General features: G+C 39.7%; 1 long non-coding RNA gene across 1 annotated transcript in view, besides 5 other annotated features; it reads right to left on the reverse strand.

Moving 5' to 3' along the window:
- LINC02427 (long intergenic non-protein coding RNA 2427) overlaps nt 1-23,182 on the reverse strand; it is a 31,124-nt gene extending 7,942 nt beyond the window's left edge. Inside the window, exon 1 of the long non-coding RNA NR_147158.1 lies at nt 23,101-23,182. This is a non-coding gene — a long non-coding RNA (long intergenic non-protein coding RNA 2427). The remainder of the gene's footprint in view (nt 1-23,100) is intronic.
- Nucleotides 37-106: an enhancer, noted in NCBI's record as "active region_22227". NCBI's record gives its function as "activates an Ori minimal core promoter by ATAC-STARR-seq in GM12878 lymphoblastoid cells {active_cell/tissue: GM12878}" and the evidence as "EXISTENCE:reporter gene assay evidence [ECO:0000049][PMID:35858748]".
- Nucleotides 117-276: an enhancer, noted in NCBI's record as "active region_22228". NCBI's record gives its function as "activates an Ori minimal core promoter by ATAC-STARR-seq in GM12878 lymphoblastoid cells {active_cell/tissue: GM12878}" and the evidence as "EXISTENCE:reporter gene assay evidence [ECO:0000049][PMID:35858748]".
- Nucleotides 14,789-15,314: an enhancer, noted in NCBI's record as "NANOG hESC enhancer chr4:185450344-185450869 (GRCh37/hg19 assembly coordinates)". NCBI's record gives its function as "activates a minimal SCP1, AML or CMV promoter by ChIP-STARR-seq in naive H9 embryonic stem cells {active_cell/tissue: H9 hESC(naive)}" and the evidence as "EXISTENCE:reporter gene assay evidence [ECO:0000049][PMID:30033119]".
- Nucleotides 22,913-23,122: an enhancer, noted in NCBI's record as "active region_22229". NCBI's record gives its function as "activates an Ori minimal core promoter by ATAC-STARR-seq in GM12878 lymphoblastoid cells {active_cell/tissue: GM12878}" and the evidence as "EXISTENCE:reporter gene assay evidence [ECO:0000049][PMID:35858748]".
- Nucleotides 23,193-23,522: an enhancer, noted in NCBI's record as "active region_22230". NCBI's record gives its function as "activates an Ori minimal core promoter by ATAC-STARR-seq in GM12878 lymphoblastoid cells {active_cell/tissue: GM12878}" and the evidence as "EXISTENCE:reporter gene assay evidence [ECO:0000049][PMID:35858748]".

Raw genomic sequence — 27,490 nt, forward strand, 5'->3', positions numbered from 1 at the left:
AGGAGGATGGACAGATTCGCTTGCTGAAATGGCGAAGCAAGTTCCCGCAGCTGGCCAGGCTGAGCTGTTTCTGAAGCTCAGAGCAGCTGTGACTCATCCCTCCTGCAGTCCGTTAACTTCCCACTCCTGTCACCAGACCAGCTACTCCTCTCGCTCTGACTCCTACAAACCCACTTATTTTCAAATTTGCTCAATAACCATGACATTCAAACCCAACATGCTCTGTGCACAGGACGCTGTGAAAACACACAGTGAGAATTAAGGGTCCACAGAAGAAATAATGGCCAGAGTAAGAACTGTTTTCTTGGATGCTGGGTGATGAGGAATAACTGCTAATAAGAGACAACAGCAAGTATTAGGACATGTGCCATCAGGCCCAATTGAGTTAAGGGAATGCAGTCATCCTAACTGGTGGTTTTCAGAAAGCCACACAACATTTTAATTGAATGCACAGGCTTCTGCATGATTAGGAACACAATACTTTGGTGCCCAGGCCGGATTGAGCTGGTAACAATGAGCTGAAATGGCTTCCTGCCATGAAGCAGAGAAGCTCAAGCTTATTCTCCCTGTGACACTTCCAGGCCCTGTTGCAAAGTCACAAAAGAAACTCAAGAAACCAATTTTCAGAGACGGTTTAGAGCTTTCCTGCATGGTTCCAACTACTCGTGTGATATAAAAATGGAATGACTGCAGAAGGAGGATTGCAGCTGGATTTCGGGGAAACTTTCTGAAGAATGGACAAGAGGAACCAGCAGCCTGGTGCAAAGTCACTGAATCAAGTAGCAAGTAGCACCAACTCCTCCCATCCTCCCATCAGACAGCATGAATTTAAAGTGGTCTCCAGTCATGCAGCCATTTCACAGAGTTTGCATCTTAAGCCCACCTAAGATATTGTCAATAAGATATTGTCTTGAATTCCCAGCCAGAGTCCAGGGAATCCAGAAGTTTCCAAAACTTTGAAAATAGGAAATATTCAACAGAGTTATTCAGCAAATATTTGTTCAGCGCCTACCACATTCCAGTCACTAATAATTGGCATGGATATCAGCCCAATAAAATTAACCATTGGACTATCATTGGGAACCCCCGAGAGACATATTCAACACGAGCCTGAATTAAAAATACAACTAAATTTCTATATTGTGATTTTTAAAATGTGTTTGCTTTAAAAGTTCAATCAAAATGGGCCTTTCACTTTAAACTCAGCTCTGGACATCTCTATGCAACTCTCTGTGGAAGGTTCACCGAGATGTCCCTCAGAGCAGCTCTTTCATCTCAGCATGTTTATACATGAACTCATTGTCTTTCCTCCAAATTTGTATGTCAGTTGGTGGCACTCAATCACCCAAGTCAGGACCTGTGAATCACCCTTGCCCCCTTCTACTCCCTTACACTCAAGATCCAATCAATCACCACATCCTATCACTTTTACCCCATAGACACAACTCCAACAATATAATAGCCTCTTCTGTAGACACTGTAGTAGGCGCACCACAGATGGGCACTATTGTTATCATGTGCATTTTACGGATAAATAAACATGGCTGCAGGGGTTAAATAACTTCCCTAAGATCACACAATCAGTATATGGCAAAGCTAAAAATCAAGCTTGGCTGGGCACGGTGGCTCATGCCTGTAATCTCAGCACTTTGGGAAGCTGAGATGGGTAGATCACGTGAGGTCAGGAGTCCAAGACCAGCCTGACCGACATAGTGAAACCCCATCTCTACTAAAAATACAAAAATTAGCCAGGCGTGCTGGTGCATGCCTATAATCCCAGCTACTAGGGAGGTTGAGGCAGAAGAATCACTTGAACCAGGGAGGCGGAGGTTGCAGTGAGCCGAGATTGCACCACTACACTCCAGCCTGGGCAACAAGAGGGAAACTCCATCTCAAAATAAATAAATAAATAATAAAAAATAAATAATAAATAAAAATCAAGCTCAAGTCCTTCTGAATTTAAAGAGGAGGATTTTGAAGCTCTGTGTCTCTAATTCAGCAATCTCTGCCCTAATGTAAACCTCATTCTTTCTTCAGTCTCCTTACTGGTTCCTCTGCCCACTGCCTTCACTTTTTTTAGCGGCTTTTCTACATTTATAATGTTTTGTTTTTGTTTCTGTTTTTGTTTTGAGCCAGAGTCTCACTCTGTCACCAGGCTGGAGTGCAGCGGCACAATCTCGGCTCACTGTAACCTCCGCCTCCCAGGTTCAAGGGATTCCCCTGCCTCAGTCTCCCGAGTAGCTGGGACTACAGGCATGTGCCACTATGCCCAGCTACTATTTTGTATTTTAGTAGAGATGGGGTTTCACTATATTGGCCAGGATAGTCTCCATCTCCTGATGTCACGATCCGCCCACCTCAGCCTCCCAAAATGCTGGGATTACAGGCATGAGCCACCTCGCCCGGCCCGTTTGTTATGTTTTTTAAAGTCGAGTTTATATGGGTATAATATACAAAAGTAAAATTCACTCCTTTTAAGTATAGTTTGACAAGTTTTGACAAATGCATATGGTTGTGTAACTACCATGATGATCAAGATATAGAACTTTTCTATCACCCCAAAAAGTGCTTCATGATCCTTTACAGTCAGTCCCCTTCCCTAGTTCCTGACTGTGGTAATCACTCATCTTATTTTCTTTCCCTAGTTTTTCCTTTCAGATAATGAAATGTAAATGAATCATACAATACAGAACCTTTGGTGTCTGGTTACTTTCCCTTAGGAGGGAGCTTTTGATTTTGCCCATATTGTTATGAGTGTCCATAGTTGAGTCCTTTTTATGGCTGAGTAGTATTCCTTTGCAGGCATGCATCACCATTTGTTTAACCATTCATCACATGAAGGACATTTGAGTTATTTCCAGTTTGGGGCTACTATGAATAAAGCGACTAGAAACATTCACATACAAGTCTTTATGTAAATATGTTTCTTTCTTTCGGGTAAATAAATACATAGGAATGGGGCATAGGTTGTATAGAAAATGTATGTGTATGCTTAACTTTATAAGAATCTGTCAAACTGTTTTCCAAGTGGCTATATAATTTTGCATACCAACCAGCAATGAAAGAGAGTTCTAGTTGCTCTACACCCTTACCAGTATTGATAGCCTTTTTAATTTTAGCCAGGCTAACATATATATAGTAGTATCTCCTTATTATTCCAATTTGCATTTCCCTAATGACTAATCATGTGGAGCATCTATTTCATGTGCTTATTTGCTATCCATTTGTCTTTTTTTTTTGAGACGGAGTCTCGCTCTGTCACCCAGGCTGGAGTGCAGTGGCACGATCTCAGCTCACTGCAAGCTCCACCTCCCAGGTTCACGCCATTCTCCTGCCTCAGCCTCCCGAGTAGCTGGGACTACAGGCGCCCGCCACCACGCCCGGCTAATTTTTTTGTATTTTTAGTACAGGCGGGGTTTCACCATGTTAACCAGGATGGTCTCAATTTCCTGACCTCGTGATCTGCCTGCCTCGGCCTCCCAAAGTGCTGGGATTACAGGCATGAGCCACCGTGCCTGGCCTCCATTTGTCTTAAGTTAAGTATCTGTTCAAATCTTTTGCTCATTTTTAATTGGGTAGTTGATTTTGTGTTGAGTTTGGGGAGTTCTATATTCTAAATAAAAGTCCTTTATCAGATATATATTTTGCAAATATTTTCTCCAAATCTATTGCTAGGCTTCATTTTCTTAAGTGTCTTTTGAAAAGCACAAGTTCTTCACAAAAATGTTCTCCTGAATTTTCTTCTGGATTTTTTTTTTTTTTTTTTTGAGACGGAGTCTCGCTCTGTCGCCCAGGCTGGAGTGCAGTGGTGCGATCTCGGCTCACTGCAAGCTCCGCCTCCCGGGTTCACGCCATTCTCCTGCCTCAGCCTCCCCGTAGCTGGGATTACAAGCGCCTGCCACCACTCCCGGCTAATTTTTTGTATTTTTAGTAGAGACGGGGTTTCACCGTGTTAGCCAGGATGCTCTCGATCTCCTGACCTCGTGATCCGCCCGCCTCGGCCTCCCAAAGTGCTGGGATTACAGGCGTGAGCCACCACGCCCGGCCCTTCTTTTGGATGTTTTATAGTTTGGGCTGTTATATTTATTTTAGGTCTATGATCTATTTTGAGTTAAGCTGCATATGGTGCAAGGTAAAGGCCAAGGCTTATTCCCTTGCCTATGGATGTCTAACACTGATACTGACCCAATAGTCCCACAGATAGTTTTTTGGATAAACATAGAAATTGACGCGTCTTACCTTAAAGCTTGAATCTCACATTTATTTTATCTGAGTTCCTTCCTCAGGAAATGACCTTCAGGCCTATCATAAAAGGTATCAAAGAACTGAAACTCACCAAATCCCACATCCAGGCAATGAGATGCCAGACCCCTCATTCATCATGATGGCTTCCTTGCTCCTCCCTAGCTCCTGTTTCCTTATACATTGTTATATTTCTTCCCTGCTATATAAACCCCTAGTTTTAGTTGGTCAGGGAGATGAATTTGAGACTGAGCTCCCATCTCCTTGGCTGCACCCAATTAAAGCCTTCTTCCTTGGCAATACTGGTCATCTCAGTGATTGGCTTTCTGTTTGGTGAGCAGTAGGACCCAGACAGAACCCCTGGTCTTTTGGTAAGGACACCATTTATTGAAAAGACTATCTTTTCCCCATGAAATTATGTTGGTACCTTTACCAAAATCAATTGACCATATATGTGTGGGTCTATTTCAGGTCTCGTTATTCTGTTCAATTGATCTATACATGTTATCTTTATGTCAATAACATATTATCTAGAATACTGTAGCTTTATAATAAATAAGTCTTGAATCGGGTTAGTAAAACTTCAAAAACATTTTGGCTGTATAAGGTCCTTTGCATTTGACATAAATGATAAGATCAGCTTGTTAATTTTGACAAAAAGCTTGCTGGCATTTGGATTGAGATTACATTGAATATATTAATTTGGAGAGACTGACACTTAACAATTGAGTTTTCTAATCCATGAACACGATTTAAGTCTTCTTTAATTTCAGTTATGTTTTGTAGTTTTCTATCTACAAGTCTTGCTTTTTTGTTAAATTTATCCCTAAGAATTTCATTTTTATGATATTGTAAATTATTTTTAATATTCGATTGTTTCTATTGACCATGTAACCTGTAACTTTATAATCTCACTTATTCTACTAGCTTTATGTGTAGATTATTGGGATTTTATATGCAAATGATCATGCAATCCATGACTAAAAAGAGTATTTTTTCTTCCTTTTGAATCTATATGCATTTTGTATAATTTTCTTGCCTTAGTACACTGGGCAGAACCCCTAGTACAATATTGAGTAGAAGTGTTAAGAACTGACATAATTGCCTTGCCCTCATTCTTAGGGGTAAAACATTCATTCTTTCACCAATAAGTGTAAAGTTACCTGTAGGTTATTCACAGATGTCCCTTATCAAAATAAGTAGATCTATTCCTCATTTCCTGAGAATGATTTTTTTGTTTTATCATGATTCAACATAAAATTTTGTAAAATGTCTTTTCTCCATCTATTGATGCATAGAGTTAATATTTTATATTCTGTTAGTATGATGAATTTTTCAAATATCTAAATTCAAACATCTAAAGAAACTTGCATTCCTCAGATAAACCCCACTTGGTCCTTTTACATGTTGGATTTGTTTGTTTGTTTGTTTGTTTTGAGATGGAGTCTCGCCTTGTCGCCCAGGTTGGAGTGCAATGGCACGATCTCAGCTCACTGCAACCTCCGCCTCCCGGGTTCAAGTGATTCTCCTGCCTCAGCCTCCCGAGTAGCTGGGATTACAGGTGCATGCCACCACGCCCAACTAGTTTTTTGTATCTTCAGTAGAGATGGGGTTTCACCATGTTGGCCAGGCTGGTCTACAACTCCTGACCTCATGGTCCGCCTGCCTTGGCCTCCCAAAGCGTTGGGATTACAGGCATGAGCCACAGCACCTGGCCTGGATTTTATTTTGTAATATTTTGTTAGGGATCTTTGCATCTGTGTTCATGAGGAATATTAATCTGTAGGTTTTTTGCCCTATAATGTTTTTGCCTTATTTGGGTATCAGGGTAATGTTGTCCCATATTTCAGAAAAATTTGTGAAGCATTGATGGTATTTTTTCTTAACTGTTTGGTAAAATTCACCATTGAAGTTTCCTGGGTCAAGATTTTCTTCATGGAAAAGTTTTTAACTATGAATTCAATTTATTTAATAGAAGACTGTTCAGGCTATCTATTTCTTCTTGAGTGAGTTTGGCAGTTTGTGTCTTTCAAGAAATTTGCCTATTTTATCTAAAGTTTCAAAATTATTGGCAAAAAAATTTACTACAATATTCCCTATTATCGTTTTAATATCTGTAAGAATCTGTAGTGATATCCCTTTCTCATTCCTAATATTGGTCATTTGTGTCTTTTTTGTTGTTCATCAGTCTGGAGAGAAGTTTACTGATTTTGTTGATCTTTTCAAAGATTTAGATTTTTGTTTTATTGTTTTATTCATTTTCTCTATTTTTCCTGTCATTGATTTCTGCCTTTAGTTTTATTACCTCCTTCCTTCTGCAAGCTTTAGTTTTAATTTGCTTTGTTTTTCAGGTTTCTTAAGATGAAACTTAGATTAATAATTTGAAAACTTTCTTCCTTTCCAACATGAGCTTTTACTACCATAAATTTCTCTGGAAACGCTGTTTTAGCTGTGTCCCACAAATTTGACATGTGTTGTCAGTTTCCTTTAAATCATAGTGTTTTCTAATATTCTTTGTGATTTCTCCTTTACTCATGGGTTATTTAGAAGTGTGTTGATTAATATTCAAATATTTAGAATTCTTTCCAGATATATTTCTGTTACTACTTTCTTGTTTAATTCAATGTGGTCAGAAAACTTACTTTATATGAATTTCTGCACACCATGTTTTTCTCCTCAAAAATACCCTTTAAATAAAGAGTATCTTCATACATTTCTATGGTATAATCTCCAGAATATAGTGTGACTAAAGCAAGGTAGAAATATATCTTATATATGTTTCTAAATGGAAGAATAAACTACACAATTATAAACAAAATTATTACCCTACAGGAGCAACTGAAGAACCAGGTAGAGGTGAGTGATAGAAACTAGACTCCTCTGAATACACCTTGTTTTGTACACTTTATTTTGGAACCATGATTATAAAACAAAGTTGAGTAAAAGTAAGAAAAAAAAGGGCAAACTCTAGAAATAAAAAACAATATGATACCAAAATCATACAGACTAGCAAAATGGTTTTTCCACAATGCTTTGCATATGCTTATAAAAGCAAACAGATGCTTCATTTGGACCTTCTCAAGAGAAGTATTGTGGCTTAACTTGGCAGAGTTGTGTTTGTTCAAGATGCAGAGAATAGAGAGGGAGCTATAAACCCTCAATCTTCAAAAGGACATTTTGTAATGATAAATGCCTGTTTGCATTATTTAAATTTTAGAAATTTAAGTAAAATGTTTAAATTGATATTTTTTGTAAAGAAAGTAAAGTGTCGGGATAATCTAATCAAGTGCAATGTAAAATTTAAAGACAACATGCATTCATTGTTTCCATGTGTTACCATTGTATGGTAAAATAAAGTAGTCAAGAACACAAGAGCAGGAACAAGACCATCTGGATTAGAATCCTGGCTCTGCCAGGACATATCTGTATGACCTTAGGAAAGTTACTCAGCCTATGATGGCTCTTTTTCATTTTATCTCTCTCATTTCACCTGCAAAATTTTTTCACTTTCTTTCTCCAAGTAACATTCTGCTCCTTCCACTGTAAAGCATACTAGTCTAACCTCCTCCCACCTCCTTAGCTTTACCATGATCTGCTGAGCAAGTCCCAGTTAGTAAGATGGCGAAGACAGACTTACCCTCAGAAGAGGAGACCCTATGCATATGTTACCTTTTCTTTCCACATCTCATTAAGTTAATCTCCCAGAATCACATACACATACATAGCAGGGAAGGAGGGAGTATTTCTTTCCAACTCCAAAGCTCATATTTTTGTTTCTTCCAACTTTTAAGATCAGGGGTACATGTGCAGGATGTGCAGGTTTGTTACATAGGTAAACATGTGCCACGGTGATCACCTGCACAGATCATCCCATCACTTAGGTATTATGTGAAGCATCCATTAGTTATTCTTCCTGATTAGCCCCAGTGTGTGTTGTTCCCCCCACCCCATGTGTCCATGTATTCTCATCATTCAGCTCCCACTTATAAGTGAGAACATGCAGTATTTGGTTTTCTGTTCCTGTGTTAGTTTGCTGAGGATAATGGCTTCCAGCTCCATCCATGTCCCTGCAAAGGACATGATCTCATTTCTCTTTATGGCTGCATAGTATTCCATGGTGTATATGTACCACATTTTCTTTATCCAGTCTATCATTGATGGGAATTTAGGTTGATTCCATGTCTTTGCTATTGTGAATAGTGCTACAATGAACATACACATGCATGTATCTTTATAATAGAATGATTTATATTTATTTGAGTATATACTCAGTAATGAGATTGCTGGGTCAATTGCTGGGTATTTCTGCCTTTAGGTCTTTGAGGAATCACCACACTGTCTTCCACAATGGTTGAACTATTTTACACTCCCACTAACAGTGTAAAAACCGTTCTTTTTTCTCCACAACCTTACCAGCATCTGTTGTGGGTTTTGTTTTTGTTTTTGTTTTTTACTTTTCAATGAGAGCCATTCTGACTGGTGTGAGATGGTATCTCACACCAGTGAGAATTTTGATTGGATTTTTTGGTTTTGATTTACATTTCTCTAACAATCAGTGATGTTGGGCTTTTGTTCATACGTTTGTTGGCTGCATGTATGTCTTCTTTTGAGAAATGTCTGTTCATGTCCTTTGCTCACTTTTTAATTGAGCTGTTTGTTTGTTTCTTGTAAATTTGTTTAAGTACCTTGTATATGTTGGACGTTAGACCTTTGTCAGATGTATAGATTTCAAAAATGTTCTCCCATTCCAAAGGTTATCTGTTGACTCTGATGATAGTTTCTTTTGCTATGCAGAAACTCTTTAGTTTAATTAGATCCCATTTGTCAAGTTTTGCTTTTGTTACAATTGCTTTTAGCATCTTCATCATGAAATCTTTGCTTGCGCCTATGTGCTGAATGGTATTACCTAGATTTTTTTCCAGGGTTTTTATAGTCTTGGGATTTTACATTTAAGTCTTTAATCCATCTTGAGTGGATTTTTGTAAATGGTGTAAGGAAGGGGTCCAGTTTCAATTTTCTGCATATGGCTAGCCAGTTCTCCCAGCACCATTTATTAAATAGGGATTCCTTTCCCCATTGCTTGTTTTGGTCAGGTTTGCTGGAGATCAGATGATTGTAGGTGTGCAGTTTTATTTCTGGGTTCTCAATTCTGTTCCATTGGTCTATGTATCTATTCTTATACCAATACCATTCTGTTTTGGTTACTGTAGTCTTTAGCATAGTTTGGAGTCAGGTAGCATGATGCCTCCAGCTTCGTTCTTTTTGCTTAGGATTGTCTTGGCTATTCAGGCTCTTTTTTGGTTCCATGTGAATTTTAAAATAGTTTTTTTCTAATTCTGTGAAGAATGTCAATGGTAGTTTAATGGGGATAGCAATGACTCTATAAATTTCTTTGGACAGTATGGCCATTTTCATGATACTGATTCTTCTTATCCATGAGCATGGAATTTTTTCCATTTGTTTGTGTCCTCTCTGATTTCTTTGAGCAGTGGTTTATAGCTCTCCTTGAAGAGGTCCTTCACTTCCCTTGTTAGCTGTATTCCTAGGTATTTTATTCTTTTTGTGGCAATTGTGAATGGGAGTTCATTCACGGTTTGCCTCTCTGCTTTCCTGTTGTTGGCGTATAGGAATGCTAGTGATTTTTGCACATAGATTTTGTATCCTGAGAGTTTGCTGAAGTTGCGTATCAGCTTAAGAAGGTTTTGGGCTGAGACAAAGGGGTTTTCTAAATACACAATCTTGTCATCTGCAAACAGAGATAGTTTGACTTCCTCTCTTCCTATTTGAATATGTTTTACTTCTTTCTCTTGCCTGAATGCCTTATCCAGAACTTCCAATACTATATTGAATAGGAGTGGTGAGAAAGGGCATCCTTATGTCAACTTTCAAGGGGAATGCATCCAGTTTTTGCCCATTCAGCATGACATTGGCTGTGGTTTTGTCGTATATGGCTCTTATTATTTTGAGGTATGTTCCTTCAATACCTAGTTTATTAAGAGTTTTTAACATGAGGAGATGTTGAATTTTATCAAAGGCCTTTTCTGCATCTATTGAGATAATCATGTGGTTTTTGCCTTTAGTTCTGTTTATGTGATGAATCGCAGTTATTGATTTGCATATGTTGAATCAACCTTGCATTCCAGGGATGAAGCCTACTTGATTGTGGTGGATAAGCCTTTTTACATGCTGCTGGATTCGGTTTGCCAGTATTTTATTGAGGATTTTTGCATCGATGTTCATCAAGGATATTGCCCTGAAGTATTCTTTTTGTGTTATATCTCTGCCAGGTTTTGGTATCAGGATGATGCTGGTCTCATTGAATGAGTCAAGGAGGAATCCTTCCTTTTTAATTTTTTGGAATAGTTTCAGTAGAAATGGTGCCAGCTCTTCTTTGTACCTCTGGGAGAATTCTCAGCTGTGAATCTGTCTGGTCCTAGGCTTTTCTTGGTTGGTAGGCTATTTATTACTGCCTCAATTTCAGAACTTGTTATTGGACTATTCGGGGATTCAATTTCTTCCTGGTTGAGTCTTGAGCGGGTGTATGTGTCCAGGAATTGATCCATTTCTTCTAGATTGTCCAGTTTACATGCATAAAGGTGTTTATGGTATTCTCTGATAATTGTATTTCTGTGGAATAAGTGGTGATATCCCCCTTATAATTTCTGATTATGTGTATTTGAATCTTATCTCTTTTCTTCTTTATTAGTCTAGCTAGTGGCCTATTAATTTTTTTAAAAAACCAGATCCTGGATTTGTTAATTTTTGAAGGGATTTTTGTGTCTCTATCTCCTTCAGTTCAGCTTTGATCTTGGTTATTTCTTGTCTTCTGCTAGCTTTGGGGTTCGTTTGCTCTTGTTTCTCTAGTCCTTTTAGTTGTAATGTTAGGTTGTTAACTTGAGATCTTTCTAGCTTTTTAATATAGGCATTTAGTACTATAAATTTCCCTCTTAACACTGCTTTAGCTGCATCCCAGAGATTCTGGTATGTTCTATCTTTATTCTCACTAGTTTCAAAGAACGTCTTGATTTCTGTCTTAATTTCGTCATTTACCCAAGAGTCATTCAGGAGCAGGTTGTTCAGTTTCCATGTAGTTGTGTAGTTTTGAGTGAATTTCTTAATATTGAGTTCTAATCTGATGGTGCTATGGTCTGAGAGACTGTTTGTTATGATTGCAGTTCTTTTGCATTTGCTGAGGAGTGTTTTACTTCCAATTATATGATCAATTTTAGAGTAAGTGCCATGTGGCAAAGAGAATAATGTATATTCTGTTGTTTGGGGACAAAGCCCACATTTTTTTTGCAAACTCCATCAAGATAAAAGGCAAGATTATTAAAAGCAGAGCTGTCTTGAGCTGTAGTGTTGGAGAAGAGATCCATGGTTATGAAAGCTTAGTGTGTCCACAAGGATAGGGAACAGGGAATTTTTTCTAGTAGTGGAATTGTTCTGTATCCTGTTTGTGGGGATGGTTTGTAGGGATGAACTTATACATGTATTAAAATTCATAGAAAGCACACACCCCCATGAAAAGTCCATTTTGTGGTATAATTTTTTAAAAAACAGCTGCTTCAACAGAAAAATTTTCTGCTATCCAATGTGGATGACATTGAAATTGACCCAAAAACTTAAAAGTAAAAATCTAGGCTATCTTTCCTTCTCTAGAACTGTATTTGGTCATCCCTAGGCACATGCTCTGTTCTTTGTGACAGCCAGGCCCACTGCTCCGAATCCCTGCACTAGGCAGCTCCTCCCATTCTAGAACCCTAATCTATTTATCAAAACTCACTTCCTCAATTTGAGGTTCTGCTCTCAGTTAATTGTGACAGTAGGCAGGGTTCAATAAACCCATCCTCACCATGTAAAGCTGTTAATAACCAAGAATAATTGAATGAGACAGAAATATCTGTCAGGAATAGGCAGATCATGGAGAATTGGAGGCAGGGAAGCTTTCACAACATCATTCACCTCGCTCCTTGTAGGTCCTGGCAATTCTGGCCTCAACATACACATAAGTCATCTCAGAGAGCTGTCATTCCTTTTCTTAAAAGTCTTCAGAAGAGTGAAGGAGGCTGTGCATGTATGGGAGCAAGGGCTCAATTTTGCTGTGAACTTAAAACTGCTTCAAAAAATAAAGTCTCTTTTTTTTAAGTCTTCACAGACTTCTCAGTATATATGCTGCATGGTAATTCTTTAGCATAGACTGGGCAAAGCTGACTATATTATTCAGTAGAGTAATAATAAAGTAACAACAGCAGGCTGGGTGCGGTGGCTCATGCCTGTAATCCCAGCACTTTGGGAGGCTGAAGTGGGCGGATCACAAGGTCAGGAGTTCAAGACAGCCTGGCCAATATGGTGAAACCCCATCTCTACTAAAAATACAAAAATTAGCCAGGCACAGTGGCAGGCGCCTATAGTCCCAGCTACTTGGGCAGTTGAGGCAGGAGAATCGCTTGAACCTGGGAGGAGGAGGTTTCAATGAGCCAAGATCATGCCACTGCACTCCAGCCTGGGTGACAGAGCAAGACTCTATCTCAAAAAAAATAAATAAATAAATAAAGTAAAATAACAATAGCTAGTATGTTTTGAACATTTATTATATGACAGGCACTGCTCTAAGTACTTCATATGTGTTATTGCATTTAATTTTCTAGCAATCTTAAGTGGTAGATACTGTTATCATCTCAATTTTGCAGGTGAGGAAACAGAGGCAAAAGCAGTGAAAGCAACTTGCTATGGTAGACACAAAGAAGTGCCACCCAGACCCCTGGTCAGACCTGGCCTTGTTGCCCGGCTGTGGGGAGGTGACCAATGCAGTGGGCCTTCTGCTGCCAGCTGTTCAGGTCAGCCCTAGATACAGAGCCCCTCATTAATGCCCTTCCTGGGCCGCACCACAGCACGCTTCGGAGCCAGGCCAGTGTATAAAGGTCTGGCCGTTTCAGTCCAGTGCAGGAGCACTGACTGTCTGGAGCTCCTGCAGGGCTGGCGCAGCTGCGTCGGGCCTGCATCTCATTTCCACCCCTTTCTCTGCCCAGTCCTGCTTCCGCCATTGGCCTGTCCTGTGTTGATCCTTAACAAACACCCTGCACCCCAAACTCTGTCTCAGCACTGGCTTTGGGAGGACCCAACCTATAGCACTTGCCAAGGGCCACAGAGCAGATAAGTCATGACCCTACAATTCAAACTCTGATGGTTTTATGCTCTTAAACACTATTGATATGCTGCCTCCACATAAAAAAACAAATCTAGAATTCTCCTATAGCAATGGTTAAAACTATTACTAGGAGTGTCTGAAATTTTTTCTTTAATTTTTAATAACAGCTTTATTGAGATATAATTCACATACCACAAAATCCATCCTTTTAAAGTATACATACAATTCAGTGTTCTTAGCACATTGGCAAAGTCGTGCAACCATGACTGCTATCGTATTCCAGAACATTTCATCACCTCAAAAAGACACCCTGTCCCCCTTAGCAGTCACTCCCCATTTGTCTTTAATTTTGGTCCACCTAAACGATAATTCATGTAGTTAATCTGTTCTTGCCAGCTGTGAAAGTTATCCACTGTGATGTAAGATACAAACTCTCCCAATTTCACTTCCTTTTAAAGTATTAAATCCATAAACATGTTCAAATGCTTGTTCCGTCATCTCACTCTTGGGAATTTATTCTAAGAAAAAAATGACAAAAGATGGGAGGAAAACGAAATGGTTTGTTGCAGCATAGTTTAAAAACTAAGAAACTGGAAACAAATTGCTGTCCATCGTGGGTGATTGTTTAAACTGTGGCACATAAACAACATGGAATACTGTGCATCTATCAAAGACTAAATAGCAAAAAGAAAAATGTTTGGTATAACATTAAGCATAAAAGCAGAAAATAAAATTGCATTTACAACTATGTAAATGATGTATGTATGGATACGGGTCAAAAGGAAATGGAGAAAAATGAAAACAGTTGCTGCAAGAGGATGTTGGAACTGTGAATTATTTTCATTCTTCTGAGTTCCTTTATTATTGTCAAAATGTGGTCTTTACAATAAATGAGAATTGGAGGGAAAACATGCATATATCTACTCTTGCCAGGAAAAATTCTCACTCATAAAGGGAGGTGGTATGACAGAAAATTATTGTTAAGGGCAAGTACTTTGGAGTCACCTGGACTTGGATTTCAATTCTGGCTCTGATGCTTCTGAGATGTGACAATAGGCAGTAGCCTAATTCTGTAAGCCTAACTTTCCACAAATGTTAACAGGGGCTGATACAGTCATACATGACCCCATGTGGCTGTTGTGAAGAGAAGTGAGATGGCGGAGCCCAGCCCTCCTTTTTTTTTTTTGAGACAGAGTCACCCAGCTGGAGTGCTGTGGTGAATCCTGGCTCACTGCAGCCTCGACCTCCTGACTTCCTGGCCTCAGAGAGCACCACTTATTAAATGGTAGTTACTGCTATTTTTGTTGCATAGGTAACGGTGATTAGAGTGATGGTGGTGGTACCGACAAGGGGACAGGGAATGGAAGCTTTTATGAGAATACCATTAACACTGAAAAAAAAATAGAATGACAGTATAATTTTCTACTGAATACACAGGTGGAGGACTTTCTATCATCTCTACCAATTGATCAATTCAGACCAAGTAAGCATTGCTTCAAAGGAGAGTTGGGTTGGGGGTGCATCACTCCTTAGCTGGAGATACAGAGAAATCTATACCTACAAGATCCTCAAGGTGTCCTTGTTGAAAACTTCATCCAAGGAACTCAAGTACTGCTGGATTTGTGTGACTCATCTTACGAACGAATACAAAGGCCTATTAACTATTCTATGGTTGTCGTCATTGATATATTAACAAAGAGTCTGTGTGGGATACTAAGAAAACCCCGTTCATGTCTTTGTCTTCCCTGCTGGTCTGGATGAGCTGTCCTCTCCCCTGAGGCCCTTCCTGCCTTTGCACACAAGACACCATCCCTGCTGGTCCTGCCCACACAAAGACTCAGGAAGTTCCTCTTACTCTTGCATCAATTTGCGCTCACCCCTCCCCAGCATATAGATGTGCTGTCGTGTCTCCCACCTTAATAAAAAACAAAAATTCTTATGTGATTCCACATCTCTTTCTAGATACAGACCATCTCTCCTTTCCCCTTTACAGAAAAACTCCTTGAAAGAGAATAGCAGGATGCTGAAAAGTACTGAAGCTGGGTGATGGGAATACGTATATTATTCTTGCTACATTTTTTAATTTAGAAAGACTATTGAGCTGTAATTGACAAACAATAAACTGTATATACAATTGGCCCTCCATATCCATGGGTTCTGTATCCATGGATTCAACCAATTCAGATCAAAAGTATTTGGAAAAAAATGGATGGTTGCCTCTATACTGATCATGTGCAGATTTTTTTCCCTTGTCGTTATTCCCAAAACAATACAGTATAGTAATGTAGCATTTACACTGTATTTGGTACTATAAGTAATTGATACGGTTTGGCTGTGTCCCCACCCACCCAAATCTCATCTTCAATTGTAGCTCCCATAATTCCCACATGTTGTGGGAGGGACCTGGTGGGAGATCATTGAATCATGGGGGCAGCTTCCCCCATACTGTTCTTGTGGTAGTGAATAAGTCTCACGAGATCTGATGATTTTATAAGGGGTTTCCTCTTTCGCTTGATTCTGATTCTCTCTTTCCTGCCACCATGTAAGACGTGCCTTTCACCTTCCACCATGATTGTGAGGCCTCCACAGCCACGTGGAACTGTGAGTCCGTTCTTTTTCTTTATAAATTACCCAGTCTCGGGTATGTCTTTATCAGTAGCATGAAAACGGACTAATACAGTAATCTTGAGATGATTTAAAGTATATGGGAGGATGTGTGTAGGTTATATGCAAATGGAATTTGGTATCTTTGAGGGTCCTGAAATCAATCCCCCTTGGGTACTGAGGGATGACAGTATTTTGTATGTACAGTGTAATAAGTATTGGCACATGAATATGCTTGTAAAACCATCATCACAATCAAAATAATGAACATATCTATCACCCTTGGAAACTTTCTAGGGCCCCTTTGAAATCCCTCCCTCTTGCCCCTCCTTCCCAGACCACCTTTCTGTTGTTATACATGCATTTGCATCTTGTAGAATTTTTATAAGTGAAAATCATACAATATGTACGTTTTTATTTGCCTTGCTTGTCTCACACAGCATAATAATTTTGAGATTCATCCATGTTGCAGCATGCCCCAATAGTTCCCTCCCTGTTATTGCTGAGTACTATTTAAATATACCACAGTTTGTTTATCCATTCACCTGCTGATAGACATTTGGGTTATTTCCAGCTTGGGTCTATTACAAGTAAAGCTTCTACGAACATTCAAATACACGTCTTTGTAGAGACATATGCTTTCATTTGTCCAGGCTAAATATGAGAATGGAATAGCCAGATCAGATGACAGGTGTACATTTAAATTTTTAAGAAACTGCAAAACTGTTTTGCAGAGTATTTGCACAGTTTTATATTCCCACCAGCAGTGAATAAGAGTTCCAGATCCTCCACATCCAAACAACACTTAGCATATAGTCAGATTTTTTTTATTTTTATCATTCCAGTAGGTGTGGTTTCTCCTTGTGGTTTTAATTTGCATTTCCCTGAGAAATTACTTAATGGGTACAATACACATTATTTGGGGACGGATATTGTAAAAGCTTTTACTTCACTGCTATGTAATGAATGCATATAACAAAATTGCACTTGTGCCTGTAAATTTATACACATAAAAAATTTTGCATTTCTCTACTGACTAATGAAGTTGAGCATCTTTTCATGTGCTTATTTGCCATCCACAGGCTTTCTTTGAACAAGTGTCGTTCAAATCTTTTGCTCATTTTTTAATTGAGTTGTTTGCTTTCTTATTGTTGGCTTTTGAGAGTTTTTTTTAATATCATAGATACCAATCCTTTAACAGATATGATTTTCAAATATTATCTCCCAGTCTCTTTATTCTCTTGAGAGCGTCTCTGAGATATATATATACAATAGAATATTATTTAGTCCCAAAATACTGTTTATGGCAAAATAGATTAATCTGAAGGACATTATGCTAAGTGAAATTAACAAGCACAGAAAGACAAATATTGAATAATCTTACTTATATGTGGATCTAATAAGTTAAATTCATAGACATAGAGAATAGAATGATGGTTACCAGAGGTTGAGGTGGTAGGGTGGTGAGGATGCAGGGAATGAGGAGCTGTTAATCAAAGGGCACAAGTTTCAGACAGACAAGGGGAATAGACTTTGAGATCTATTGCACAGCAAAGTAACCAGAGTCATAATAATGTGTTATATATTTCAGAATAACACGGTAAATTTCAAATGTCTCACCCTAAAAAATGACAGTAAGCAAGGTGATGGACATGTTTAATTAGCTTGATTTAATCATGTCATATTGTATACATATATCAAGGCATCACATTGTACCCAATAAATGTATAAAATTAAGATCTGTCCATCAAAAATAATATTAGTAATAAAATTTTAACTAAAAAAATTAAAAGCAGAATTTTTAATTTGGGTGAGTCCAATTTATCAATATTCTTTTTATGCCTAGTGCTTTTGATGTCCTATTGAAGAAATTTTTACCAGAGAAATTAAAGAGCTAAATGAATGGAGAAATACACCTTATTCATGGGCATGCACGTATATGACTCAATATTGTTGATATGTCAGTTAAATCTATTGATCTACAGATTTAAGAGAATCCCAATTACAATCTTAGCAAAGTTTTTAATATAAATTGAAAAGCTAATTCTAAAATTCACAGGGAAATTAAAGGACTTGGAACAGCCCAAACAACTTTTAAAATGGAGAATGAAGTTGAAGGGCTAACACTACCTGATTTGAAGGTTTATTATAAAGGTACAGTAATCAGGACAGTGTTATCTTGGCATAGAGATAGACAAATAGGCTAATGAAACAGAATAGAGAGAACAGAATTATTTCCACAAACGTGGGTGATTAATTTTTGACAAAGTTAAAGGAAATTCTGTGGAAAAACAATAGTCTTTTCAGCCAATGATACTGAAACAATTAGATATCCATTTGCTGAAAGAAAAAAAAGAACTTCAATCTATACCTGTATCTATGAGCGCCATGGCTCATGCCTGTAATCCCAGCACTCTGGGAGGTCGAAGCAGGCAGATCACCTGAGCTCAGGAGTTTGAGACCAGCCTGGGCAACATGGTGAAACCCCATCTCTACTAAAAATACAAAAATTAGCCAAGCGTGGTGTCGCACGCCTGTAGTCCCAGCTACTTGGGGGGCCGAGGCAGAAGAATCCCTGGTACCCAGGAGGCGGAGTTTGTAGTGAGCCGAGATCGCGCCACTGCACTCCAGCCTGGGCAAGAGTGAGACCATGCCTCAAAAAAAAGAAAAAAAAAAAAGTACGGGTGCGGTGGCTCACGCCTTTAATCCCAGCACTTTGGAAGGCCGAGACGGGCGGATCACGAGGTCAGGAGATCGAGACCATCCTGGCTAACGCGGTGAAACCCCGTCTCTACTAAAAAGACAAAAAATTAGCCGGGCGTGGTGGCGGGCGCCTGTAGTCCCAGCTACTCGGGAGGCTGAGACAGGAGAATGGCATGAACCCGGGAGGCGGAGCTTGCAGTGAGCCGAGATCGCGCCACTGCACTCCAGCCTGGGCGACAAGAGAGAGACTCCATCTCAAAAAAAGAAAAAAAAAATCAGGGCTCCAGATGAGTTGGGAAAAAATGGGGAAACTAAGCAATGTGGGAGGAGGCTAGAGTTGGAGAAAAAGATACCCGTTAAGGATCTGGTGAGGTAAGGTTCTGCCCGCTGGAAGCTGAGATACTGAATTGGGTGAGAACAAGAACTGAGTCAGTGTCCTTGGGAAGTGGCCGGAATCTTGGGAACACAATCTCAATTTTCCTTACAAAGTGACCTCAGCTGACATACCTCAGGAACAAAAAGAGCAATGTTTAAATAGAACCTGAATTATCCCCCTCTCCTATTAAGAACCTGATGAGAATACATACTCATGGCCTCCTCCTCGAAAAAATCACAATTTGATGTGTAGGCCCCCCTGGGGCTGTGCAGTGACTGATCTGAGGCTGTGAAACAATGTTAACAACAGAAGATAAGGCTTGCATCTCTGCCAGATGCATTCATTATCAGAAAGAACGTAGACTCGGACATGCTACCTTCAAAACAAAAAGAGTGAGGGGCAGAGTCATACCCAATTTTATCCTGGGCTATTCCTATTAGGAAAGGATTTATCAAGATATTTTAATGCTTTAGACAGGACATCAATTAGGTACATCTTTAATTTGAAAATAATAAATTTGGGCTGAGCACAGTGGCCCATGTCTGTACTCCCAGCACTTTGGGAGGCCAAGGTGGGAGGATCACTTGAGGCCAGGCCAAGACTAGCCTGGACAACACAGCAAGACTCCACCTCTACAAAAGATAAAAATAAAAAATTAGCTAGGCATGGTGGCACACATCTGTGGGTCCCAGCTACTTGGGAGGCTGAAACATAAGGATTACTTAAGCCCAGAGGTCAAGGCTGAAGTGAGCCATGATTGTACCACTGCACTCCAGCCTGGGTGACAAAGTGAGACTCTGCCTCAAAAAAATAAAAATAAATAAATAATAAATTTGAAAGTATTGTTTTAATTCTTTATTATAAGCATGCCTAATAAATACACAGAAGAACAAAGACTAATTCAATTTAAATCAGTATTTTTTCCATTCGGGAAACAGAGCACAGAACAGTGGTACTTTCATGATTCCATCTCTAACATTTAGGTAAGAAAATATCTTGTAATCCTGAAGTAAGTTCACAGTGACTGCTGTTCTCTACTAAAGTCCATCCATCCTGAATTGAATGACACTCTGAAGAATGTTACTACACATTCCACAGCCCTCTGTGAGGAAATGGCCTTGAGTCAAAAAAGAACTGCTGGAAGAATCTATCATTCTTAAACTATGGCTCTCCCTCCCATTTATTTCTCATAACAACAGAGCAAAACAGAAACCAAGAAACAAGATCATAACTCAGAACACTGCAGCTATTTTTTCACAATCTGCCCACTTCTTAAATAGACATGAAATATTGTAACTAGCTATATTCAGATACTACAGGAAACAGAAAGACCAGAAGAAAAACCTCAAACATCCGGCCTTCATCTTTCCTCTACATTAAATCTACTTTTCTTCCTAACTACAAATGTCTCCTCTCAAGAAGTTAAAACTGGGCATAATGCCATGGAGAATGACCAGGTTCACACTTTTCCAGAATTAGCATTTCTCAGATAAACACGCAACCCACATATCAGGAAAATTACCATTTATCAGAGGGGACCAATCCTAAAAGTTCTGTTAGAACACCAGAAATGATATTGATATGCAAGCAACGCGACATATCGAGGGTTCTGTGAGTGTATATTCCTTTGGATCTTTCAGGAAACCTTTCAGCTATACTTATGGTGATAAGGTATATACTATAGTATACAGTATATATATATAGTATGGTGATAAGGTGTATCCTTTCAGTTTTACTTATGGTGACAGGTTATACTTATGGTGGAGTTGAGTCAGTGTCTTTATGGAGCTTTGCTGGAACCTAACATCTCTCTTGTTGTCCAAAGCAACAACCTCAGGAGATAACAAAAGAATCCTGGTGAGCAGAACATCAGCAGTGAAGACTGCACTTTTTGTCTCATGTATCAGTTGAAAATAAATGAATGGCACCTCTGACCTGGAACCAACTAACTCTGCACTTTAAGTGGCAGCTTGGGGCAAACTGAAGGATTTGATGTCAATTACTGTGTTTTATGGGCTATATATGCTGAAAAGATTTTCATTCTGTTTTGAAACAAAATAAAAGGACCTGGCACAAAAGTGACTATGCCCTGACACTCTGTACAAACCAAACTTGTGTGTTAACATTGTTTCAGATTTTTAACATCCCAACTTCACAGGCTAGACTGAAATCCCAAAATTTTACTTTTAGTACACTTCAATGATTTCTTATAAATTTCCCCACTTTGATATTGAATAATGATGATGATGATGGTGGTGATGGCAACAGACACCTCTTAATAAACACTCACTGTGGGCCAGGTCCTATGCTAAGCCCATTAAACGCATCAACTTGTCACCACTGGTACAACCCTACATGATAAGTATTACTATTTCCAGTTTACAGACGAAGAAACTGAGGTTCAAGGAGATTAGACAACCTGTCCAAAGTTACACAGCTAAGGGGTAAAGGGAACTTAACACCCAAGTCTGTGCTCCTTCTTCACTAAATCTTCGACTTCTTAGATGTCAAACTCTGAAAATTTTCTCTTTTTTCCTATAATCTGCCATGCTTCTACCCTTTTCCTACTTCTCTCCTACTGAGGCTGTTCAGGAATATCTCATGATGAACTCCAGCTCTAAATTCATTTGAAAAAATATTTACTGAGTGCTCACATTAATGCTTCATTCGGTGATTTGCAAAGGTTTCTTAGGAGCCCACTGTGTGCTAGATGCTGTGCTGGGTGCTGAGGATTCATCGGTTCACAACATTGACAAAAATGCCCCGCCCACGTGGAGCTAACATTCCAGAGAAGGCAAAAAGACAATAAAGATAGAGATAAGAAATACAGGGATGGCTCAAAGATAATAAATGCTAAAGGAAAGCAGGCTAGGGGAACGGGAAGAGAGAATATTAGGGAAGATGTACACGTGTGTAGGACTGCAATTTTAAATGTTAGGAAAACATAATATTTGAGCAAAGACTTTCTGGGGTATGAGGGTTAGTTTTATGTGTCAACTTGGCTAGGCTATTATTAATTATTATTATTTAATTAAATTATTTAATCAAACACTAATCTAGCTGTTACTGTGAAGGTATTTTGTAGATGCGGTCTGCTTTGAACGGCATTTCTAGCGGCCCTGGCCTTGTATTACACTGGACACTCTACTGATTACCAACTCACTCACTTTTGGGAGACTGTGGGGTTTAGGAACTATGTTGACATACTTTATTTTGAACTGCCTTCACAAAAACTGACAAGCAGGGAGGACCGGTAATATCACCCTTATTTTACAGACAAGAAACTAAGACTCAAAGAGGGAGACTAACCTGTAAGAGATAACAGAATAAATAGCAGAGCTGGGTGTCAGGCCACCATCCTATCCTTCTTGACAATATACTGGAAAGGAATTTGCAATCACTTCTAACTGCTCACCTTCCAGCCACCATTCACTCTTCAACCATTTCAATCTGACACACCCCCTAACTCAGATGTTTTGCTTTTTTAGGGGGGTGAGGTGGGGACTGTAGTTTTCCATGAATTACATACATTAAGGGTGTCTGTCAGTCAAGCGGCGCCTTAAGGAGATGTCTCATTCCCCCAGGCTACTGTCTTCAGAACAAACACATTAACCAAAACCAGTGAAAAGAACATGATAAGAATCCCGGGCCCAAGGATTACAAAGTACACAGCTCAGAACAATCTCTAAAGGAAGCACGCAGGGTAAAATACCCAACAGCCTCCTCTACGTTCCTCTAAATTTCCCACTGAAATCCCTTAAAGAGAAAACATTCACCACTACAATAATATCCAAGATTGTCAGCCTATCCCACAGTCTGGGAGGGATTCCTACAACTCCAAGGACGATGTGACCAAGGACAACAGCCAGCAGGAACCACCTGTGCTGGGCCCCCGCAGCGAGGGGCAAACACCTCTCTCCCGGTTCAGAGAAGCAAGATCTGTGCCCAACAAAAAACTAGACAGCCGTCTCTCTCTGTGGTGCCTGCTGCTTTTTTGTGAAAGAAAAACATAAGCTGTTCCCAATACCTTCCCAAGCAGCCGACAAACGAGGGCTCTTCCGCCTTAAACTTTCCCCATACCGGGCGGAGCCCCAAGCCACAGGAAACCTCCAGCAGGAAGTCGGGCTGCCAGGGCGGTGGCGGGCGCGGTGCATCCTGGGAGTTGTAGTCCGTTCTCGGAGGCGCAGGCGCAGTGGTGAAGGCGGGGAGCTGGGGGCAGCACCGCAGAGGATTGTACTTTTTCCTGAATGATACAGTCCTCCTTCCACATCCTTGGGGAATTGGTTCCAGGACCTGTGCTGATACCAAATCCGGAATGCTCAAGTCCCTGATATAAAATGGCGTAATATTTGCATATCGCCTACGCACATCCTCCGTGTACTTTAAATCTTCTCTGGATTATTTCTAATACCTAATGCAATGTAAATAATTGTTATACTGTGTTGTTTAGGGAATAATGGTAAGGAAAAGTCTGTACGTGTTCAGTACAGATGCAATTTATTAAAGGATATTTTCGATTCCTGGTTGATTGAATCCATCGGTGGGGAACACTGTGGATACCGAGGGCCAAATGTATGAGGGTGTCGAAAAAAAGTCAGGGGGTGCCGTTAGGAGACCTCGTTTCACAGAGGGAGGGTGATCTGATGAATGTCGGCCGCACAGGAAGACTTGGCTTGGAAACGGGTGTCGGCCTCCGTCCAGTCTCAGATCTGAAATGGACTGAGATAGCCCCCAAGTGGACAGAGTGGGGTGAAGAATAACCCACACGATCTACAAACGGGACTGTGGAACTGTGACAAAACGTCGTAGAATCAAGGAAGGCGAGCCGACGCAGACTCAGAGAAAGAACAAACCTCAGAGTCATCTACCTTATAAATAGAACTTTTTAAAAAATTTTTGGCTTCTTCAAAAACTATCCCCCCAAAAAAAACAACAACAAAAAGCACCAACGCATATTATATATTAGGACTTGTAGGCAAATGAACGTATGGCACAGTCTGGACTCATATACATCAAAATGTTAAAATTAGTCTTCTTTGGATGAGAGTGTTGCATTTTATAAAACTTATGTGTATTTTCCTCATTGTTTACAAAGATGAAATAATTTTTTGGTTTGAAATAAGTATAAAGAAAAACACATAGAGCAATTTTTAAACACCTTGGTATCTACGACAAAGTTTTATCATATTTACTTCAGATCCTTCCTCTCTTCCTTCCTTCCTTCCTCCCTGTTTCTTTCTAGAAAAGAAAAGAAAACCAAAAAAATTATGGCCGTGCACGATTGCTCATACCTGTAATCCCAGCACTTTGGGAGGCCGAGCCGGGCGGATCACAAGGTCAAGAGTTCAAGACCATCCTGGCCAACATGGTGAAACCCCGTCTCTACTAAAAATACAAAAATTACCTGGGCGTGGTGGCACGCACCTGTAGTCCCAGCTACTCGGGAGAATAAGGCAGAAGAATCGCTTAAGCCTGAGAGGCAGAGGTTGCAGTGAGCTGAAACTGTGCCACTGCACACCAGCCTGGGTGACAGAGTGAGACTCTGTCTAAAAAAAAAAAAAAAAAAAAGAAAATTGAATTTGACTAATGACTAATGAAATGGGTTGTGTGGAAGACCTGGGTGACCAAATAAAATGCATAACTGTGCAAGTCAAATGCCTGCCACCCAATCTTCATTCTTGTGGAATTTTGAAGTTGGCCAGATAGCCAGTCTCAAAAAATCTCCATCCCCAAAAAACACACATGCAAAAAACAAAAACTTTACAAGTAGTGTCCCTTATGTAGCCCTTTGTCCTCTGCAGGGAAATGCATACATACATACATAGATTCTGCAGAGTATTTATGTATATGTCTCTGTGTTTTTGTTTTTTGAGACAGGGTCTCACTCTGTCTCTCAGAACTGGAGTGCAATAGCACTCATGGCTCATTGCAGCCTCAACCTCCCCGGGTTAAGGTGATCCTCCCATCTCAGTCTCCCTAATAGCTGGGACTACAGGCACACACCACCATGCCTGGCTAATTTTTTGTAGTTTTGTAGAGATGGGGTTTCACCATGTTGCCCAGGCTGGTCTCCAACTTCTGGGCTCAAGCAATCTGCCTGCCTCAGCTTCCCAAATTGATGGGATTACAGGCATGAGTCACCATGACCAGCTCAACAAATTTTTTAAATCAAAATCATATCAAGTATCTTATCAGACTACAATGGAGTCAAACTAGAAATCAATAAAAAGAGAAACTTCAGAAACTGTACAGATACAGGGAGCTCGAACAGCCTGCTTCAGAACAACCATTAAGAAAAAAATTCAAAAATTTCTTGAAAGAAATGAAAATATAAACAACATACAAAAACCTGTGGGATACAGCAAAAGCAATGCTAAGAGGGAAGTTTATAGCAATAAATGCCTGCATCAAAAAAATAGAAAAGTATGTCAAATATACAACTTAATGATGCACCTCAAGGAACTAGAACAGCAAGAATAAATCACACCCAAAATTAGAAGAAGGAAAGAAATAATACATATCAGAGCAGAACTAGGAGGTTGAAGATTATACGGTATATATAAAGTCTTGATAAATTTTGACAAGAAGGCCTTTTTTCTTTACATCAAATAGCAGGATCTCACAAGAGAGAAAGCCTGCTACTTAAATAGAACATAGTTAAATTAGTTATTGGGACTGTGCTTTCACCTAATTAATCAGCTCCTTTTAGGGGAGGGGAGGAGTGGATTCTAGTGAGACAACCACCTGGGAATTTAAATCTACAATCAAGGAATATATAGTTGGAGCCAAAAGATGAGGTTCTTAATCAGAGAACTTAGATAAAACCCAGGAAATTCAGAGAAGGGAAAGCTGGAATTTTCTAAAAGTTAGGTATAAACAACCAAATATGGAGTCCAGCATAAAACATCTTTTTTTGTGATTTTTATTTCTTCAATTACTTAAGATTTGGCTGTTAGTAGTATTTATATTATTGATACTATATTTATACTATTATTTGGTTATTTGGATTTATTGGAGTATTATATTGATTAAGATAATAATACTACATAATAATATAATAAATAACAAATAATACTACATAAAAGATAACAAAGAAATAAAACAGTAACAGTCAATTCTCAATTATCTGTACTAAGGGAGGGGAAGGCCGAGTACAAATCATTAAGAATTATTAATCCCTCTAGTTGGGTGAAAGTTATGGCCCTTGCTTTTAGTGGCAATGGCACCTGAATCCTGACCCAGCTGTCAGCCAGGCATCCGAACTGCTGAGATAGCTTCCATCACAAATAAAATATCTAGTGAAACGCCAGGTGTGGTGGCTCACGCCTCTAATCCCAGCACTTTGGGAAGCCAAGGTGGGGGGGCGGTGAATCACGAGGTCTGGAGTCTGGAGTTCAAGACCAGCCTGGCTAATATGGTGAAACCCCGTCACTACTAAAATTACAAAAATTAGCCGTGTGTAGTGGCATGCACCTGTAGTCCCAGCTACTTGGGAGGCTGAGGCAGGAGAATCACTTGAACCCGGGAGGCAGAGGTTGCAGTGAGCCAAGATTGTGCCACTGCACACTCCAGCCTGGGAGATAGAGTGAGACTCCATCTCAAAAAAAAAAAAAATCTATATCTATATATATAGTGAAAAAGAAACTTAAAACAGTTCTGTTTTGACTATATCAACAGCAAAGTTTAAGTCTAATATAAATATTACTACTATAGCCAGGCATGGTGGCTCATGTCTGTAATCCCAGCACTTTGGGAGGCTGAGGCAGGCTGCTTGAGGCCAGGAATTCGAGACCAGCCTGGCCAACATGACGAAACTCCATCTCTACTAAAAATACAAAAATTAGCCAAGGATGGTGGCGCAGGCCTGTAATCCCAGCTTCTTAGAAGGCCGAGGCCCAAGAATTGCTTGAACCTGGGAGGTGGAGGTTGCAGTGAGCGGACATCATGCCACTGCACTCCAGCCTGGGTGAGAGAGCAAGACTCTGTCTCAAAAAAAAAAAAAAAAAAGAAAAAGAAAAAATTACTGCTGCTATGGTGACTTTGCCTTTGAAAGTTCAGCAAACACTTGTGAAATGTGCACTATGGAAATGGGTCGTGTGCTGAGTGCCAAAAAATTCAACTCCCAACCAGTGCAGCTCACACCTCGTGGGTGAGGCAACACTGCAGGGGGCCCTGAGAACCCTCCTATGCATGGGTTGATTTTCCCAGCCAGTGGATACTTAGAAGACAAGTATTATCTTGTTCACATTTTATTTTTAAAGGGGTCGTCTCCACACAAATGCCACGGATCACAAAAAATGAACAGGGCGTGGTCTCTGCCTTTGGGAGCACGTCATCCACTAATATATATTCTGATTATCATAATGATGCTATTTCGTAAATTAGGAATGATTTTTCAAATTTAACAAGAGGAAACC

Source organism: Homo sapiens, chromosome 4, assembly GCF_000001405.40.
Source record: "Homo sapiens chromosome 4, GRCh38.p14 Primary Assembly".
Lineage (NCBI taxonomy): Eukaryota > Metazoa > Chordata > Mammalia > Primates > Hominidae > Homo > Homo sapiens.